The 20,602-nt window shown below is 47.2% G+C and overlaps 1 protein-coding gene across 3 annotated transcripts in view, besides 3 other annotated features; it reads left to right on the top strand.

The window, feature by feature from the left end:
• Positions 5,042 to 5,161: a silencer, noted in NCBI's record as "silent region_8021". NCBI's record gives its function as "represses an Ori minimal core promoter by ATAC-STARR-seq in GM12878 lymphoblastoid cells {active_cell/tissue: GM12878}" and the evidence as "EXISTENCE:reporter gene assay evidence [ECO:0000049][PMID:35858748]".
• Positions 5,330 to 20,602, top strand: part of NCBP3 (nuclear cap binding subunit 3) — a 44,089-nt gene continuing 28,816 nt past the window's right edge. For all 3 annotated transcript variants that reach the window (XR_007065313.1, NM_001398494.1, NM_001114118.3), the window contains exons 1-3: positions 5,330 to 5,535; positions 8,425 to 8,490; positions 11,371 to 11,476. Coding sequence is in view for 2 of the 3 variants with exons in the window: in NM_001398494.1 (NP_001385423.1) it covers positions 5,353 to 5,535; positions 8,425 to 8,490; positions 11,371 to 11,476 (355 nt within the window). In the remaining variant the exon portion in view is untranslated. The remainder of the gene's footprint in view (positions 5,536 to 8,424; positions 8,491 to 11,370; positions 11,477 to 20,602) is intronic.
• Positions 5,342 to 5,631: a silencer, noted in NCBI's record as "silent region_8020". NCBI's record gives its function as "represses an Ori minimal core promoter by ATAC-STARR-seq in GM12878 lymphoblastoid cells {active_cell/tissue: GM12878}" and the evidence as "EXISTENCE:reporter gene assay evidence [ECO:0000049][PMID:35858748]".
• Positions 19,185 to 19,364: a silencer, noted in NCBI's record as "fragment chr17:3735506-3735685 (GRCh37/hg19 assembly coordinates)". NCBI's record gives its function as "represses an EF-1alpha promoter that drives an FKBP-Casp9 reporter gene in an ReSE screen in K562 erythroleukemia cells {active_cell/tissue: K562}" and the evidence as "EXISTENCE:reporter gene assay evidence [ECO:0000049][PMID:32094911]".

Raw genomic sequence — 20,602 nt, 5'->3', positions numbered from 1 at the left:
GATCACGAGGTCAGGAGTTTGAGACCAGCCTGGCCAAGAGGGTGAAACCCTGCCTCTACTAAAAATACAAAAATTAGCCAGGCATGGTGGTGGCGCCTATAATCCCAGCTACTTGGGAGGCTGAGGCAGGATAATTGCTTGAACTCGGGAGGCAGAGGTTGCAGTGAGCCGAGATCGCGCCATTGCACTCCAGTCTGGGGGACAGAGCAAGACTCCGTCTTGGGGGTGGGGGGAAGAAAGTGAGGGAGATGGAGAGAGGGAGAATGGAGAAGGTGAGGGAAGATGGTCCTTGCAAGAAGTTAGCTATGGCCGGACGCGGTGGCTCACACCTGTAATCCCAGCACTTTGGGAGGCTGAGGCGAGTGGATCGTCTGTGGTCAGGAGTTCAAGACCAGCCTGGCCAACATGATGAAACCCTGTCTCTACTAAAAATACAAAAAAATTAGCCAGGCATGGTGGCGGGCACCTGTAATCCCAGCTACTCGGGAGGCTGAGGCAGGAGAATTGCTTGAACCCAGGAGGTGGAGGTTGCAGTGAGCTGAGATCCAGCCTGGGCAACAGAGAGAGACTCCACCTCAAAACAAACAAACAAAAACAAGAATTTAGCTAGGCAGTGGATGGGGCACATAGATACAGTGCCCCCACCAGGGTCAGCTGCCTCATGACCTCTTCTTCAACCACGGAAGCTTTTCCTGAATGACTGATGGGCGTGCGCATGTTGCAAGGACACTCATGAACCGAGGAGTGTGAGGCGTGCAGGTCGCGGGCACCCAGCTTCAGACTGCACTAAAGAACATCCCTGCTTCAATCAGCAGGGCATCAGCTCAGGCAAGTGCACCAGGTTACCAGCCCTCAGGGAGCATCTGATTTCTCCTGAGGAGCTCACATTACCTTTCCACGGCTTTTCCCTGTGCCACTCCAGGGGAAGTAGGATTCCATTATTTTTATTCCCCTCCTTGCTGGGTAAGAGAGGAAGGAATAAGCAGAGGGAGAGGGCTGGGTGTGGTGGTTCACGGCTATAATCCCAGCACTTTGGGAGGCCAAGGTGGGAAGACTTCTTGAGCCCAGGAGTTCAAGACCAGCCTGGGCAACACGGTGAAACCCTGTCTCTACTAAAAATACAAAAATTAGCCGGCCGTGGTGGCACATGCCTGTAATCCCAGCTACTTGGGAGGCTGAGGCAGGAGAATCGCTTGAGTCCGGAAGGCGGAGCTTGCAGTGAGCTGAGATTGTGCCATTGCACTCCAGTCTAGGTGACAGAGTGAGACTCTGTCTCGATAAATAAATAAATAAATAAATAAAGGAGAGGGAGTGACCAATTTCAATGAAAGAAATCACAGAAAAGGAACCCTTTAGAAGAGCCTGTTAATATCCTCCCTGCCCTCTAGCCTACTTCTCCTGAGAGTTGTGTACACTGGCTCAAATCTCCCCACTAATGTGCCTTCCCCTTCATGGACTCTGCTCTCCTCAAAGTCACCAATGGCCAGCAAACCTCTAGACCCAAAACAAGTTCCATCGTGAACTTATGGCAGAACATGACACTTGATCACTCCCTTCTTAAAACTCTCTCTCCAGTCTGTCCCAATGTCCCATTCCCCTGATTTTCTCTATTAATTAAAAATTTTTGCCGGGCGCAGTGGCTCACGCCTGTAATCCCAGCACTTTGGGATGCTGAGGCAGGTGAATCACAAGGTCAGGAGTTCAAGACCAACCTGGCCAAGATGGTGAAACCCCGTCTCTACTAAAAATACAGAAAGTCGCCAGGCATAGTGGCACGTGCCTGTAATCCCAGCTACTCGGGAGGCTGAGGCAGAGAACTGCTTAAAACCTGGGAGGGGGAGGTTGCAGTGAGCCAAGCTCGTGCCACTGCACTCCAGCCTTGGCAACAGAGTGAGACTCCCATCTAAAAAAAATATATATCCAGACTTTGGAAACAGAAAAAGGAAAATGCCCTGTTGGTACTGTGCCAGGTGTTATCTGCCTGGGGAACCATCTGATTCTCTACAGATGTATAGCTTTGTCTGACTTCTTATGCACTATTGATTAGGGTATTTTACAACTGAGAGTAGAGGTTTATAGAAAATTCATAACAGGTGGCTGGGTGCAGTGGCTCACGCCTGTAATCCCAGCACTTTGGGAGGCTGAAGCAGGTGGATCACAAGGTCAGGAGATCGAGACCAACCTGGCTAACACGGTGAAACCCCGTCTCTACTAAAAAAAATACAAAAAATTAGCTGGGCATGGTGGCAGGCGCCTGTAGTCCCAGTTACTCAGGAGGCTGAGGCAGGAGAATGGCGTGAACCCAGGAGGCGGAGGTTGCAGTGAGCCGAGATCGTGCCACTGCACTCCAGCCTGGGTGACAGAGCGAGACTCCATCTCAAAAAAAGAAAAAAAAAAAAGAAAAAAGAAAATTTGGCCGGGCGTGGTGGCTCACGCCTGTAATCCCAGCACTTTGGGAGGCCGAGGCGGGCAGATCACGAGGTCAGGAGATCGAGACCATCCTGGCTAACACGGTGAAACCCCGTCTCTACTAAAAATACAAAAAAGTAGCCGGGCGTGGTGGTGGGCACCTGTAGTCCCAGCTACTCGGGAGGCTGAGGCAGGAGAATGGCGTGAACCCGGGAGGCAGAGCTTGCAGTGAGCCGAGATCACACCACTGCACCCCAGCCTGGGTGACAGAGCGAGACTCCATCTCAAAAAAAGAAAAAAAAGAAAATTTATAACAAGTAAATAATTCTTGTCCAGTAGTAATGCAAATGTTTTCTGTCTGGTGGTAAAGGGAGTCCTGGAGGTTATCGTTTCTTGCCTTACAGGACATTAACTTGCCTTGTCAAATTCATCTCAGCATTCCTTTGACTGACCAACCACATATTCATTCAAGTTCCCCTTCAAACTATTCTTCATATTTCTACTGGTTTCCTCATTTTCTAATGACTGGGTAACAGCTTTGACATGTGTTCATTTTACATCTGTTTGAGAGTCATGTTTTTCAACTTTTTGAAAATCAGCCCTTACCACCTTCCTAAATTCTCTGTGTCTCCAACTCAGCAGGCTGCATCGCGAACAGGAAAGGGGATGGGAGATGGTGACTAAGGTGACCACAAAGAGCAAGGCACAGAGGGCTTTCCTGACACGCGCCTAGGAGCCTTGGTGTTTGCCTGATGTCCCGGCTTGTCCTGGACTCCTCATGTACCTGCCGGCTGGTGTGCCAGGGTGCTGGGGCTCTTCTGGATGGCACTGAACTGCAACACTGAATCCTCACCGAATTGCGTCCTCAAGCAACAAGGCATCCTCCCCAGCAGGGTGAGGGGCCTGCCCAGCCTTCTCTACTGGCCTCCTGGTGTCCATAGCTGAGGAGGGATTACTTCCTCCTCTCCCATCCCCTAACCCCACAGGCCTAGTAATGGTGGGGGCTGTGACTCTTACCTATAGCTGGCCACCCCAACTACACATTTTGTTTGAAATTAAACACACACACACACACACACCCGTACATATTCTATGTATGCATTCAACCCATTTTTTTTTTTTTTTTTTGGAGACGGAGTCTCGCTCTGTCGCCCAGGCTGGAGTGCAGTGGTATGATCTCGGCTCACTGCAACCTCCACCTCCCGGGTTCAAGTGATTCTCCTGCCTCAGCCTCCCAAGTAGTGCATGCCACCATGCCCGGCTAATTTTTTTTTTTTAGTAGAGACACGGTTTCACCATGTTAGCCAGGATGATCTCGATCTCCTGACCTCATGATCTGCCCGCCTTGGCCTCCCAAAGTGTTGGGATTACAGGCATGAGCCACCGTGCCCGGCCTCAACCCAATTTTTAAAAGTACTTTGTGTCCCATTCATCAAATAAAACTAGTCCTCTAAAGAGCTCTGTCTTGTGTTTATCCTGTGGTTTAGCCCAAATTTAAGAAAAACTGTGATGTACTGCACCCCTTCTGTTGGACCCTGTATCTACATATAAATTATCACATTTAACCCTCACAACCTCCTTTGTAGGTAGGTAATGGTCCATTTTACTGATGAAGGAACTGAGACTCCAAAGTGCTAAGCAGCTTGCCTAAGGTCACACATGGTGGATGGGGCCCGGCCAGCCAGCTCGAAACCCAGGTGTGTCTGATGCTGACCATGCTCTTCCTTGGTTTATCATTATTTGCTCCTCCATGGTCAGAGCTGGTAGGGCCTCAGGGCCTCAGAGACTGTAGGGTCTCACCTATGCCCTCCTCAGATGGGAAAACAGACCCAAAAACCTGTCCAAGGTTACCCAGGGAGGAAGATGCAAAATCAGGACTCAGGCCGGGCGCGGTGGCTCATGCCTGTAATCCCAAGACTTTGGGAGGCCGAGGCGGGTGGATCGCTTGAGGTTAGGAATTCGAGACCAGCTTAGTCAACATGGTGAAACCCTGTCTCTACAAAAAAAAAAAAAAAAAAGAAAGAAAGAAAGAAAGAGGAGAGGGAGGAAGGAAGGAAAAGAGAAAGAAAGAAAAGAAGAAAGAAAGGAAGGAAGAAAGGAATAAAGAAAGAAAGAAAGAAAGAAAAAGAAAATCAGGACTCAGAACAGCAGCTGATCAGTGACACCCTCGGGACGCGTAGACAACCCCTCTCCCCCACCAGGCTCTCGTTAGAAATATCCGCCGGAAACTATGCTCACAGGTCTACAGTGGATGGCACCCTCAGGAGTCAGGAAATCGGCGTCCAAGTTCTGGCCTTTGGGCAGGTCTCTCCCTCTTGGAGTCTCAATTTTTGTGTATGTAACATGGGCCAATTTTGGGGAGACTTTTAAGAGACAAAGACTGGCAAGGCAAGTAACTTTATAAACCTACAGATTGTCCAGAGGTGATATATCAAGGCTCATTGTAAACTCTGGAAGACTTAGATCCAGCTTTTATCCCTTAAATGGCGTCACCTTGGGTCAATTTCTATGCCTCAGTTTCCTCATATATGAAATGGGGGTCAAAATAGGATCTACTTCATAGAGTTGTTCTAAGGGTTCGAGCGCTTGGAAGTGTCTGGCCCATAGTGATCACTCAGGAAAGTTGGCTTTTAGTACAGCTTTAGCCTCAAGGCGTAGCTACATTGTAACCCTTGACTACCCCGGTCTCCTCCAAGCTCCGTAGTTCCCGCAGGCCCCGCCCCCGTCCCCGCTCAGTCCCGCCTTCTCCTCCCCAGGTCCCGCCCGCGCAGCCGGCCCGGTTTTCTCCCGCCACCAGGGGGCGGCGGCGCTAAGGGCGGCCTTCTGGGCCGAAGCCGGCGACGCTCTAGGTAGCTGCGGCGGCTCCTCTGTGGCCAGTGGCAGCGGCGCTCTAGCCGGCGGCCGTGAGGGGCGGGCTCTCAGTGGTGCGGCCGGCAGGCAGCGATGGCGGCCGTACGGGGCCTGCGGGTGTCGGTGAAGGCGGAGGCCCCGGCGGGGCCGGCCCTGGGGCTCCCGTCCCCTGAGGCGGAGTCCGGTGTTGACCGTGGCGAGCCGGAGCCCATGGAGGTGGAGGAGGGCGAGCTGGAAATCGTGCCTGTGCGGCGCTCGCTCAAGGAACTGATCCCGGTACGGGCGGGGGTCGGGGGGTAAGGAAGAGGTCGCGGGGCTAGTGTCTAGCGCCGGAGGGGGCCGGAAGGGGCGGTGGCCGGAGCCCCAGCCGGGGAAGTCAAGGGAGCGGGAGAGGAGGGAGCCAGCGTCCTGGGAACGGGAACGCCGGGCTGGAGGAGGGACGCGGAGCGGGAGAAAGGACGCCGGGGCGCCGGAAATGGGTGTTGAGGGGGCTGGGGGGTGGTGGCGGAGAGCTGGGAGGGAGTTGAGGACCCCCCTCCGCTGCCCCCTCTGAGCCGCGCTGTGCAAGGAGGTGAGTGAGGAGGGGCTGGAAGGATGAGATAAAGGGGGAGCCCTGGGCGGGAACAGAACCAGGGGCAGCCCAGAAGGAGCTGTTGGGTGGCGCCAGCAACCAGGTCTCCTTGTGGGTCTTGCCCCGGAGGAATTTGTATCTGGGAAACATGGCACTCGCTCTTTGTCTTGAGAGGGCTGCACTTGTCAGCAGCAGAAACTCACTGTTTCTGTCGTGACTTCGGGGTCATCTTGCCCCCCCCGCAGCTCCAGTGACACCTACACCGTGGCCCCAGCATCTGACTCTTAATGAAAGCAAACTAGCAGACGACCAATAGACATCCTTGGTCCCTCCTTTACCGCGCTGGGGATGGTGAGAGGTGTTTTGCTTGTGACTTGGTGGCTGTATATCCAGTTCTCAGAGCTGGTTTCAGGCCTGGATGACTCCTCTTAATTTCTCACCTAACATGAATTACTTTTGACCACATGTCAACATATTTAGACTGAAGTTATGGAGAAAGGTTAAAGTATGATCGCTAGAGATGGCAAACGTTATAATTATGATTAACAACAGCTAATATAGTAGCATTTACCATTCACTATATTGTGTCACTTAAATATACTGGCCGTGCACGCCTTTAGTGCCAGCTATTCAGGAGTCTAAGTTCCAGACCAGCCTCAGCAATATAGCAAGACCCCTTTGAGGTCCCCCCTTTCCCCTCTCCCCATCTCAAAAACAAAACCAAAATAAATAAATATTACTGCAGTTGTGAAGCAGGTGTTATCATCCCTTTAGTCATTCAGTTCAACATGGTTTTTGTTTTGTTTTGTTTTGAGACGGAGTTCGCTCTTGTTGCCCAGGCTGGAACGCAATGGCGCGATCTCGGCTCACCGCAACTTCCGCCTCCCGGGTTCAAGCCATTCTCCTGCCTCAGCCTCCTGAGTAGCCAAGTACAATGGCCTGATCTTGGCTCACCGCAACCTCCGCCTCCTGGGTTCAAGCTACTCTTCTGCCTCAGCCTCCCAAGTAGTTGAGATTACAGGGATGTGCCACCGTGCCCGGCTAATTTTGTATTTTTAGTAGAGACGGGGTTTCTCCATGTTGGCCAGGCTGGTCTCGAACACCTGACCTCAGGTGATCCGCCCGCCTCTGCCTCCCAAAGTGCTGGGATTACAGGCCTGAGCCATTGCGTCCGGCCAACATGTATTTATTGCATCCCCCGCTATGTACCAAGGCACAGCCCTAGGTGCTTGATCAAGCTCAACCTCCCTCCTGGAGTTTATGTTCCATATAAACTCTAAATGACAAAAAGCCAATCTTGTGAAGATTGAAAAGGAGTTCCCCCAGCAGGGCCAGTAACAAGCACAGAGGCTCTGGGATGGGTCCAGGATTGTTGGAAACTTCTGTAGTACTAATGGAAGGGCAGTAAAAGAGGTCAGGAAGGCAGGTAGATACCACAGAGGAAACTGAGACCCAGAGAGGTCAAGAAAACTATACAGTGTCCTGTAATTAGTGACTGTCAGAGCTGAGGCTTCAGTCCTCGCTTGGTTTCCAAATCCCATCCCCTTTGCATTGCACTGTGCTGTATTTGCCTCAGGAGTTCTAGGTGAGGCTGGACCTTCTGCGTTGAGGTGGAGGGTTGTGCTCCACCTGGTGGCTGGGCATGAGGAATTCGTTCAGACTGGGTTGGGGAGCTAAGTGACTGTGCCTTATCTTTTGACATTTTCCACAAAAGCCTTTAGATTTTCTTTACATGGATACTTGGAGTTGATGGAATCACTTCAGTTTTTGGACAGGCTCTGATCTTCTTATTGGAGTGGTTGATTGATACCATGGAATCACTAGGATGGGGCTTCTTAATAAAAGGTTGTCAGGGGTGGGGAAGGGTTTTGAAAAGAGTGGCTATTCAAAAAGAACCAGACTTGCCAGGTGTGGTGGCTCATGCCTGTATCCCAGCACTTTGGGAGGCTGAGACAGACGGATCACCGAGGTCAGGAGTTTGAGACCAGTATGCCAACATGGTGAAACCTCGTCTCTACTAAAAATAAAAAAATTAGCTGGCGGTGGTGGCACATGCCTGTAATCCCAGCTACTCAGGAGGCTGAGACAGGAGAATCGCTTGAACCCAGGAGGTAGAGGTTGCAGTGAGCCGAGTTTGTGCCACTGCACTCCCGCCTAGGCGATAAGAGTGAGACTCCATCTCAAAAAACAAACAGAAAAACAGAAAGAACCAGACTGGTTGTGATGACTCACACATGTGATCCTAACACTTTGGGAGACTGAGGCAGGAGGACTGCTTTAGCCCAGGAGTTGGTGACCAGCCTGGGCAACATAGGGAGACCCTGTCTCTACAAAATAAAAAAAAAATTAGCTGGGCATGGTGGCATATGCCTGAGGGCCCAGCTGAGGGGGAGGATGGCGTGAGCCTGGGGAGTCGAGGCTGCGGTGAGCTGTGATCATTCTACTGCACTCCGGCCTGGGCAACAGAGCAAGACACTGTCACCAACAAAAAAAAAAAAAAAAGGAAAAAAGAACCTGCAGATGTCAGGCCGACTTTTATTATAGGTTTTTCCTCAATTGCTGTCTGAATTTCTCACCCTTCCCCTTTGTGTTAGGACACGAGCAGAAGATATGAAAACAAGGCTGGCAGCTTCATCACTGGAATTGATGTCACCTCCAAGGTAAGACAGGCTATGATTTATTTATTCAGCTTGATAAGCAAGTGAACTTAATGAATTTGATCCCTAGGACATAACAGTAAATATTTCCTCTTTTATTTTGTTGCTGGATTTAAATTTTTTTTCTAAAAAAAATTGTGTTATTGGCCAGGCACGCTGGCTCATGCCTGTAATCCTAGCATTTTGAGAGGCCAAGCAAGTGGATCGTTTAAGCCCAGGAGTTCGAGACCAGCCTGGGCAACATAGTGAGACCCGTCTCTACGAAAGATACAAAAATTAGTCGGGTGTGGTAGCACAGGTCTGTAGTCCCAACTACTCAAGAGGCTGAGGTGGGAGGATCGCTGGAGCCTGAGAGGTTGAGGCTGCACTGAGCTGAAATCGTGCCACTGCACTCCAGTGGGGGCAACAAAAAAAAATTTTGTGTTATACAACGATGTCTTCATGCATCCTGAAACGGTACAGGCAGCATTTGTGTGTTCTTACAGCCATGAAAGGATAAAATCACTCTACTTAGATACCTGTGTTGAACCGTTTCCAAGAAAATGTCCAAGACGGGGGATGCTTTTTTAAATGGTATGTCCATTTCTAAAAAAATGTGTACTGTTTCCACTTGAAATGAAACAAAACATGAAAAGTGCCTGGCAGATGGTAGGCCCCCCATATTTAGGTGGAGTCTCGCTCCGTTGCCCAGGCTGGAGTGCAGTGGTGCGATCTCGGCTCACTGCAGCCTCCACCTCCTGGGTTCCAGCGATTCTTCTGCCTCAGCCTCCTGAGTAGGTAGGACTACAGGCGCCCGCCACCACGCCTGGCTAATTTTTGTAATTTTAGTAGAGACAGGGTTTCATTGTATTGGTCAGGCTGGTCTTGAATTCCTGACTTCAGGTGATCCACCTGCCTCAGCCTCCCGAAGTGCTGGGATTCCAGGTGTAAGCCACCGTGTCGGCATAATAGGCCCTTAATAAGACTATTGCCTTGTATCTGATGATTGCTATTACCAGATTACCACCTTCATTGTAACACCTCATAGAGTCAAGCCTATTATTTTCCTTATATGTAGTCAATACATGTAAGTTGCTTTAATCAGTGATGTTCCGTTTTAGACATTTTTTCTGATTTTAATGTTTACAGTTAAGTTTGGAACAGAATTTTGTATTACATTTCTGAATAATAGTATATATTGCTGTATTGAATACATAAAAGCAAAAATAAAAATATATTTCGTGCCTTCCTTTTTATAGTGTTTTTTTTTTTTTTTTGAGACAGAGTCTCACTCTGTCACCCAGGCTGGAGTTCAGGGGTGCGATCACGGCTCACTGCAACCTCTGCCTCCTGGATTCAATTGATCCCTCTGCCTCAGCCTCCCGAGTAGCTGGGACTACAGGTGGATGCTATCATGCCCAGCTAACCTTTTTATGGTTTATCTGTGTCTCTTGTGTTTCCAATCACTTAAAGGCCCCCCATCCCCGCAAAAAAAAAAAAAAAAAAAGAGAGAGAATTGGTCATCTTTTAGACAAGAAAAGAGAATAAAGTGAAAATCTTTTCTTACTGTAATTGAAAAAGTAAACTATTCATAATCTTACACTGTTTGCCATTATATGACACAGGTATATGGGAAAAGGGTGATAGTCTCAGAGTTAGTACTTTGTTTCTAAAGGAAGGTAAATTGTTGTTTGTACTAGGAAGACTTCAGTGAAGAAAATGAGCGTTAACTATTGGGAAAGAACAGAAGTGTTGCAACTTTACCAATCCCCACAAGCTCTCTGTAGTCAGACCTTCAATTAGTGTGGCAAAGTCAATATACAATTAGTGAAGGGGACTGGGCGCGGTGGCTCACATCTGTAATCCTGGCACTTTGGGAGGCCGAGGCAGGCAGATCACGAGGTCAAGAGATCGAGACCATCCTGGCCAACATGGTGAAACCCCGTCTCTACTAAAAATACAAAAATTAGCTGGGCGTGGTGGTGTGCACCTGCAGTCCCAGCTACTCAGGAGGCTAAGGCAGGAGAATCTCTTGAACCCGGGAGGCGGAGGTTGCTGTGAGCTGAGATCGTGGCAGCCTGGCGACAGAGTGAGAGTCCGTCTCAAAAACAAAAACAAACAAAACCAATTAGTGAAGGGTTCCTAAGAGCCATCAGAAACCCACAGTTGGACCTGGGTTTATTTTAGCTCTTAGAAGAAACTTACAAAGCTGATTATTTTTTCAGTAAAGTGTCAATGGTTCTTATCACTTAGAGATGAAAACTGGTGATTCCGTGGACACGAGGCTGGAAGAGGAGGGAGAGTTTCTTTGCTTCGGTGTTATTTTTAAACAGACTAGCTTTAGGGAGTGGACTGCTCAGGCAGTTATAATGTGGAAGAGCGTGATAGGTGTGATTACCATTGCTCAGACAATGTGAAGTGGTTGTAGGTGGGCTCCTAGAAATAGCACTGGAATCAGATCTGCTTGCTTAATAGCTGAAGTATCTCCAGCAAACCTTTTTGCTTTTTTGTGCCTCCATTTCTGCACCTGGAAAATTGGGATGTTGAAATTGTTTAGTTGTAATTTGTTGGCATAATTGATAATAACAAATGAAGTGTCATATAACTTTATAAACTTTAAAGGACTATTCATTCAGTCAGCAGATACTCACTGAGTTCCTACTATGTCCCAGGCACAGTGATAGGCTGTGTTATGTCGGAGATGGTTGCAAATTACAGCGATATTAACATATCCCCCCAGTCATTGAGTGTGAATATCCAGGTCTCTGCCAGACTGATTCAAGGTGTAGTGTTGCTTATTTCTTCTTTTTTAGTTCAGGTTTGTCACTGATGCATCATGATGCATGTGTGATTTAACTCGCCTTCTCCATATTTTACTACTTTCACTTTTTCTGTACTTTCTAGGAAGCAATTGAAAAGAAAGAGCAGCGAGCCAAGCGCTTCCATTTTCGATCGGAAGTAAATCTTGCCCAAAGAAATGTAGCCTTGGACCGAGACATGATGAAGAAAGGTACAGGGTGTTTTGTGGGAAATTTGTCCACATTTCCCCAGAGAGTGCCTTTTCCCTGCCATCACCTCATGCTTCTGGCCTTGCCTTGCGTGTCCACTCCTTATCCAAGCACTCTTGTGAGAAGGGACCTGTGAAGTCTCCATTTCTGAGGTCACCTGTTTAAAGTTCAGATGCTGTCAGCTGGCTCAGATGTTAGAGCTGGGAAATAAGAGATTGTCTTTTCTGAGGAGGCCCAGAAAAAGTTACCAGTTAGTGGCAGAGCTGAGATTCGAACCTGTGCTTCTAAGGACCCTTACTCATTTTCTCCTTTTATCGTAGAGGTGTTAACTTTTCTTTGCCTTTAAACGTAGTGAAAGTGTATCACAGTGAGACCTTCTTTTCGGGGAGTTAGAGCAATTTTGAGATTGGTGGGGAAAAGCCATTAACACTTTTGTTGATAATCTGAATCTATTGGCCAGGTGTGGTGGCTCATGCCTGTAATCCCAGCACTTTGGGAGGCCAAGGCAGGTGGATCACTTGAGGTCAGGAGTTTGAGACCAACCTGGCCAACATGGTGAAACCCCATCTCTACTAAAACTACAAAAATCAGCTGGGAGTGATGGCTGGCGCCTGTAATCTCAGCTACTCGGGAGGCTGAGGCGTGAGAATCGCTTGAACCTGGGAGGCAGAGGTTGCCGTGATCCGAGATTGCACCACTGCACTCCAGCCTGGGCGACAGAGCGAGACTCTGTCTTAAAAAAAAAAATTCTGAATCTATTGATAATCTGAATATCTGATATATGTAAACCACTCAGTAACATCCTGTTGTCAGAGAAAGCTAAACTAATCCTGCCCTGAGTTTTAAGCCTGCGCTTACAGTTGGACTTGTGATTTGATTTGATCTTTGTGTTTTTTTGGGGTATTTTGCTCCCTAGAACTCACCCCGAATTATTGTATATAGTAATCTGCCGCAGTTTTCTAAAGCAATTTATAAATAAAAGGAAAAATTACTACTTTTTTAGTGAGTCTATGTTCTTATTTATTATTCTACTATAATATAAATCCATGAATGCAGAAGGCTTCCCTCTGTGTTATTTGCAAATTTGGGTGTTCATAAAGGGTTTAGTAGGCAGCCTTCTGAATGCATGTTAAAGGCCTGTGCTGTATTGTATGAGCTTCTCTAGCCTTGTTTGGTTGATAAAAGCAAAAGCTCTGTAAATATATTGAATGAATGAAAGAATAGCTGCTATTTGTTGTGAACTTGCTTTTTTACTAGACTCGTTAAGCACATTATATATTTCTTTCTTTTTTGTTGCTCACAACAACTGTATGAGGAATTTATTTTTATCCCTATTTTATAAAGAGGAAGCAGGCTCAAAGAAGTTTAATAAATTGCCCAGGGTCATGTAGCTAGTAAAGGTGGAGTCAGGATTCACACCCAGTTTCTTTGACTCTAGAGCCTTGCCCTTAACTCCTTTGCTCTGTTGCTGTGTAATGTAGGATGTGGTGCTATCGACTGATATTGCGTCCCTCCTCAGTCAGTCCTAATGGGCCCAGCAGTGTGGATGCAGAGCTGAACTCTGGAAGCTGCTTCACTCTTTATCCTGCATGACCAGTTCAAGTCAGAAACACGCCCTTGCTTCCCTCATGGGCGGGGTTTCTGTTTGAGGAGAAGTCCTGTGAAGGCCAGGTGTGGCTTGACCTTCATGTGCCTGCACAGCCGGGCGCAAGCATACCTGTGAGTCTCTCTCACAACTCTACCGCGAGGGCGTCATAGCTTTATCACACCTGTCGACCTCTGGTCCCGAGAGCATTCCTTGAGGCGGCTTGCCTCTGATACGGCTCATGCCTTTCATTCTGTGCATTTGCCCTTCCTTGTCCCATGCTTTATCTCTGGTCAGGTGTCACTTCCCCCGTGGAGCATCTCTGCTCACCCACTTGAAGTGTTTTCTCACATCTGTTGGAGCTCTTTAGGGCGCAAAAGCCTCGTAGAATCTAGTCTCAGTTCCTTTGTGACTGAGGACAAGTTCTTGAGCCTTGTTAGTTTCAGTCTCCTTGTCTGTAAAATGGAAATATGATACTTACCTTAATAGGATCACTTTTGGGGTTAACTTTTAATTTAAAAAAATTTTTTTTTTTAACGTACAACTCCAGTCTCACGGTTCTAAAGATATTCCTAAAAAAGGCAGTAAGGTCGGCCGTGGGATGTCAGCTGGGGAAGCTTGCTTATTTCAGTCGATTCTTTGTCCAGGAGGCAGCATGGCCTAGGATAGTGTTCCTGAGCCCTGGGGAACCCTGCTGCCCATCTCAGACCACTTTATATTAGTTGGAGTTGGATAGGTCCCAGGGATAGTTACTGGTTTTCTTTTCTTTTTTTTTTTTTTTTTGAGACAGAGGCTTGCTCTGTCACCCAGGCTGGAGTGCAGTGGCGCAATCTCGGCTCACTGCAACCTCCACTTCCTGGGTTCAAGCGATTCTCCTGCCCCAGCCTCCCGAGTAGCTGGGACTACAGGTGCATGCCACCACACCCAGCTAATTTTTTGTATTTTTTAGTAGAGACAGGGTTTCAAGCTCCTGACCTCCTGACCTCGTGATCCACCCACCTTGGCCACTGCCCAGCATTTTTTTTTTCCTCTCTTTCTGTAGCCCAGGCTGGAGTGCAGTGGCGCGATCTCGGCTCACTGCAACCTCTGCCGCCCGGGTTCAAGCGATTCTCCTGCTTCAGCCTCCTGAGTAGCTAGGATTACAGGCACCTGCCACCGTGCCCAGCTAATTTTTGTAGTTTTAGTAGAGATGGGGTTTCACCATCTTGGCCAGGCTGGTCTTGAACTCCTGACCTTGTGATCCACCCGCCTCGGCCTCCCAAAGTGCTGGGATTACAGGTGTGAGCCACTGCGCCCGGCTGATAGTTATTCTTTTTATATCTTCTCAGGTAATTTTTATTTATTTATTTTTATTTTTTATTTTTTTTTTGAGAAGGAGTCTTGCTCTGTCACCCAGGCTGGAGTGCAGTGGCACGATCTCAGCTGACTGCAACCTCTGCCTCCCAGATTCAAGTGATTCCCCTGCCTCAGCCTCCCGAGTAGCTGGGACTACAGACGCACACCACCATGCCCAACTAATTTTTTGTATTTAATAGAGACGAGTTTTCACCATGTTGACCAGGGTGGTCTCGATCTCCTGACCTTGTGATCCACCCGCCTCGGCCTCCCAAAGCGCTGGCGTTGTAGGTGTGAGCCATTGCGCCAGGCCATCTTTTCAGGTACTTTTAATGTGCAGACAGGATTGAGGACCATTGGTTTCATGGTTATGAGCATGAGCTCTGAAGCCTAGTTACCTGGATTCAAATCTTAATCTGTTACTTTCTAGCTCTATGGCCTCGGGCAAGTTATTTAGCCTCTAAAAATCTCAGTTTCCTTATCTGGAAAGGCAGATGACAGGAATTCTTTTTTTTTTTTTTTTTTTTGAGAGACGGAGTCTCACTCTGTTGCCTAGGCTGGAGTGCAGTGGCGCAATCTTGGCTCACTATAACCTCCGCCTCCTGGGTTCAAATGATTCTCCTGCCTCAGCTTCCTGAGTAGCTGGGATTACAGGCACCTGCCACCACGGCCAGCCAATTTTTATATTTTTAGTAGAGACGGGGTTTCACCATGTTAGCCAGGCTGGTCTTGAACTCCTGACCTTGTGATCCACCCGCCTCAGCCTCCCAAAGTGCTGGGATTACAGGCGTGAGCCACTGCGCCCGGCCAATGACAGGAATTCTTATAGGGCTGCTGGGAGACTCTAACAAAATGTTACAGTCCATAGAGTGGCGCTTGGCACATGGCAGGTGCCCAGTTAATGTGGCTTATTATCATCATCTGGTATTCTCCATCTTCCCAGCCGTCATTTAAGTGACCTAGCTTCTTGGGCAAGTGAGGAAATTGGAATAACCATGTTGACTCCTGCATCCACACTAGGCGTCAAGTTCAAGTTATTTGTTATTAATACCAACAACAATAATAAAAGATAACGTGTGTTAAGTGCTTACTATGTGCCAGTCGCTCTGCTGTGTCATTAACTGATCCTTTCAACAGCCCTGTGAGGAGAAGGTGTTGATTATTTCCGTTTCACTGGGGAGAAAATGAAGGTGCTGAGGGGTTGGGAAACTTGCTCATAGTCCCACAGCTATGTAAGTAGCAAGGCTGAGGTTCAAAGACTGATCTGACTGAAACGTGTGTTCCTAACTGCTCTGCCAGCATTCAGACAGTTTGGGCTGTGGCACACTGGACTGTCCTGCATCAAGAGTGACTCGCTACATTTGAACGATTCAGTGTCAAAAAGGTTCAGTCTCTTTATGCCCAAGATTCAAACTCTCATGGTTGGAAGAGACCTCAGAGGTCATCTAGGTTAACCTTGTGCCCAACCCTGCAGGCCTTTTGGCAAACTTCCTACTGGTCTTTTGGCGGCTGCCTGAATGTTTCTTAAGTGACAGTGTGAGAACTATTTATGAGACAGGCAACTTTATTTTTGGGTACTTACTTGTGTTGAGCATTGCCTTCTAGTAATTTCTGTCCGTCAGTTACTGTGTGACTGTGAAGTCCTTTCATACAGTAGCCCTTCGGGTGCTGGAAGCACAGGCTTGCTGCCCATTCGCTCAACTTTGCTTCATGTGTCGCAACTTTCTGGTCTCCCTTCTCTAAACGCTTTGCCGTTTCTGAATGTTCTTTCTGAGGTGAGATATGGGTTCCAGTTATGGTTGGATTCACAGAGAGAACGGCAGGACTGTTCCTCACCGTTGTCTCTGTCTCAGCCATTTCAGTGTTGCACTCATCCTATATGCAGCCAAAGCACTTAGGTCTTTTCCCCAGGAATTGTGCCCATCAGAACAGTCTTTCTCATCATGTACTTGAGGCACTTTTTTAAAAAAATTACTTTTAAATGTAGTCCTATTAAATTACATCTTGTTGATTTCAAACCTCTGCTTTCAGTCTGCTGAGTGCATTTTCATCGTAACTCTACCTTTCAGCTCCTAGCTCTACTCCTCAGCTTCTTGCTCTCCATTGTGTACACGTGGCTTCTGTTTCTTCATCCAGTGGTTGGTGAAGGGTGGGCAGTGTCTTCCAGTATCATAAGTCTTATTCTATTACCATAAGGCCCACAGTTCCTTTTACTGTCATGAGGAACTGGATTACGTGGCTTAATGAACTTGAAATAGAGCACCGTCTATGTATTCTCTGAATTTCTTGATCTGGTAATCCTATCAAAAAAGAAATGAGGTTAGTGTGGCTTTCTTCTTTTTTTTTTTTGTTTCATCCACAGTCTTGGAGCTTGCTTCTTATGGAACTGTTGTCATTTCCTGTGGGAAAGATTTGGTTATTTATTTATTTATTTTTTAGAGATGGGGTCTCACTGTGTTGCCCAGGGTGGTCTTGAACTTCTGGATTCAAGTGATCCTCCCGCCTTAGCTTCCCAAAGTACTGGGATTACAGGCATGAGCCACAACGCCTGGCTAATTTTGTATTTTTAGTAGAGATGAGGTTTCTCCATGTTGGTCAGGCTGGTCTTGAACTCCCAACCTCAGGTGATCTGCCCGCCTCGGCCTTCCAAAGTGTTGGGATTACAGGCGTGAGCCACCGCGCCTAGCCTGCTGTCAGCATTTTTGATGAGCCTGTTCACTCTGGACTCTAATCTTTTCTTCATTAGCTCTTTTACAAACAGTTCATGCTCACCAAAGAAAATTTGTAACATAGAACAGGAAGAAAAGTTGCCCACGGTCTACCATCCAAACCCCGTCATTGTCAACAGTCTGTGTGTTTCCTTCTAATCTCTTATGGCAGTGAACTTTTGTTTTTCTCCTTTGCAGTCACACTGCTTTTTTCCATTCCCTGGACAGTCTATGGTCAGCATTTCCATGTTACTGTGTAGACTGGCATTAGTCGTTCAGATTTGTGCCATTCTCATTGTAATCCGTCTCTCTCCTACATGTGTGCCTTGGTCAGTTGTGCTCACCTAAAATTCGCTACCTTCTCTTTTCTAGGGAACCCCAGGAAATCCTTATTAGTGACCGGCAGTGCAATAGTGAACAGAGGCCTAAATGCGGATAAGGTTTATTGAGTCCAAGGGCCTTCTCGGTTCTTGGAATTAAAAGCCATGACTTTGGAACAGAAACAGCCTAAGGGAAGTAAAGAGATGGTTTCCTAGAATGCAGCAGAAAGCAAGGAGAGTCCTGAGTGATAGTAGAGGGAACAGACTGAGGATTAGGGAGAAAACATTAGGGAGACTTATTGATCTGACAAAAAATTTAATTTTAAATGAGACTAGCATAGAAAACAAAGACCAAAAAATGACAAAAATAATTATCAAGAGCATCATAACATTGTTCTAACATTACAACATTAAAAAAACCTACATACAGGTGAAGAAATACCTTAAAAGCAAACAGGAAAGAGTGTAAGGAACAAAATTTCTGGCCTCAGATGTCTTTTTTTTTAAAAAAAATAGAGAAGGTCTCACTGTGTCACCCAGGCTGGTCTCAAACTCTTGGGCTCAAGCAATCCTCTCATCTCGGCCTCCCAAGGTGCTGGGATTATGGGCATGAGCCACTGCACCCAGCCTCACATGTCTATTTTAATTTAGGGAAAGTCGTACACATCAAAACTTGGGCAATGGATAATCCTGTTCAAAAGAAGCAGGTAAAGATACAAAGAACAAAAAAAGAGAGAGATGCAGGCGCTGGGTGCAGTGGTGCACACCTGTAATCCAACACTTTGGGAGACCAAGACAGATCACTTGAGGTCAGGAATTCAAGACCAGCCTGGGCAACATGGTAAAACCCCATCTCTGCAAAAAATAAAAAAATTAGCTGAGCATGGTGGTTTTTTCTTTTGAAACAAAGTCTTACTCTGTTGCCCAGGCTGGAGTGCAGTTGTGTGATCATGGCTCATTGCAGCCTCAACCTCCTGGGCTCAGGCGATCATACCACCTCAGCCTCCTGAGTACCTGGGACTATAGCTGTACACCACCACACTCAGCTAATTTTTAAAATTTTTTGTAGAGATGGGGTCTCCCTGTGTTACCCAGGCTGGCCTCTCGAACTCCTGGACTCAAGCAGTCCTCCCACCTCAGCCTCCCAAAGTGCTGGGATTACACGCATGAGCCACCATGCCCACCTGGATTCATAAATCTTCATGGTGTCTTTATCTTTTTAAATCTGGGATGTCAGGAAAGCACTCAACTGAATTAGTCTGGCCACACTTACATGGGCTCATGTTAAACCCATCTCTTAACTCTTTGAGATTTAAAATTATTATGTGTTTAAAATTATTAAATGCATTTTTTTGTTTGTAAATTTTTTTTGTTTTAAATGGAAGTAATAGCATATATCTGCAGAAGAAGGATGGGCTAAAAAATTTTTAAATTTTGTTAATAGCATGTAAAAACATGCTTGGTAGTAATAGACATTAAATCCTTTTTTTATTTTTATTTTTTATTTTATTTTATTTTTTTTTGAGATGGCCTCTCGCTCTGTCACCCAGGCTGGAGTGCAGTCGTGCGATCTCGGCTCACTGCAACCTCCGCCTCCCGGGTTCAAGTGATTCTCCTGCCTCAGCCTCCCGAGTAGCTGGGACTACAGGTGCCTGCCACCACACCTGGCTAATTGTTTTGTATTTTTAGTAGAGACGGGGTTTCACCGTGTTGGCCAGGATGGTCTCGATCTGACCTTGTGATCTGCCCGCCCCGGCCTCCCAAAGTGCTGGGATTACAGGCGTGAGCCACCGCGCCTGCCCATTAAATTCTTTTTTACATTATTATTTTATTTATTTTAATTTTTGTGGGTACATAGTAGGTGGGTATATTTATGGGGTACATGAGATGTTTTGATACAGGCATGTGACATGAAATAAGCGCATCATGGAGAATGGGGTATCCATCCTCTTTTTTTTTTTTTTTTTTTTGCGACGGAGTCTTGCCCTGTCGCCCAGTCTGGAGTGCAATGGCACAATCTCGGCTTACTGCAACCTCTGCCTCCCAGGTTCGAGTGATTATCCTGCCTCAGCCTCCCAAGTAGCTGGGATTACAGGCACATGCCACCACACATGGCTAATTTTTGTATTTTTAGTAGAGACAGGGTTTCATCATGTTGTCCAGGCTGATCTCGAACTCCTGACATCAAGTGATCCACCCGCCTTGGCCTCCCAAAGTGCTGGGATTACAGGTGTAAGCCACTGTGCCCAGCCCCCTCAAGCTTTTATTGAGTTACAAACAATCCAATTACACTCTTTATGTTATTTTAAAATTTACAATTAAATTATTATTGACTGTAGTCACCCTACTGTGCTGTTAAACAGTAGATCTTGTTCTTTCTATTTTCTTATGGACCCATGAACCACCCCCTTGACAGAATTGCTTCAGAGAAGGAAGGGAAAGAAGGGATGTGGAGAGGTACTGTGGGCCCCAGTTTCATATGTAATGTTTTGTGTGCCTGAGATCTTATAACGAATTAAGCATAAAGCTAGGTAGTAGATATATAGATATTTTAAATTTACTTTTTCTTTCCCTTTTTTTTTGAGACAGAGTCTTGCTCCGTCGCTAGGCTGGAGTGCAGTGGCGCGATTTTGGCTCACTGCAAGCTCCGCCTCCCGGGTTCACGCCATTCTCCTGCCTCGGCCTCCCAAGTAGCTGGGACTACAGGCACCTGCCACCACACCCAGCTAATTTTCTTGTATTTTTAGTAGAGATGGGGTTTCACCATGTTGGCCAGATGGTCTCGACCTCTTGACCTCGTGATCTGCCTGCCTCTGCCTCCCAAAGTGCTGGGATTACAGGCTTGAGCGACCGCGCCCGACCTTAAGTTTATTTATTGATATATTTACAAATTTTGCAATTGAGATTAAAGGAGATAATGTACTTAAAATATGTAGTAAAAAAAGCCGGGTGTGGTGGCTCATGCCTGTAATCCCAGCACTTTGGGAGGCCGAGGCAGGCGGATCACCTGAGGTCGGGAGTTCGAGACCAGCCTGACCACCATGGAGAAACGTCGTCTCTACTAAAAATACAAAATTAGCATGGCGTGGTGGCGCATGCCTGTAATCCCAGCTACTTGGGAGGCTTAGACGGGAGAATAGCTTGAACCTGGGAGGCAGAGGTTGCAGTGAGCCGAGATTG

Source organism: Homo sapiens, chromosome 17 (assembly GCF_000001405.40).
Source record: "Homo sapiens chromosome 17, GRCh38.p14 Primary Assembly".
Lineage (NCBI taxonomy): Eukaryota > Metazoa > Chordata > Mammalia > Primates > Hominidae > Homo > Homo sapiens.
The sequence above is the reverse complement of the archived record's forward strand: the minus strand, read 5'-3'. Positions and strand labels throughout refer to the sequence as shown.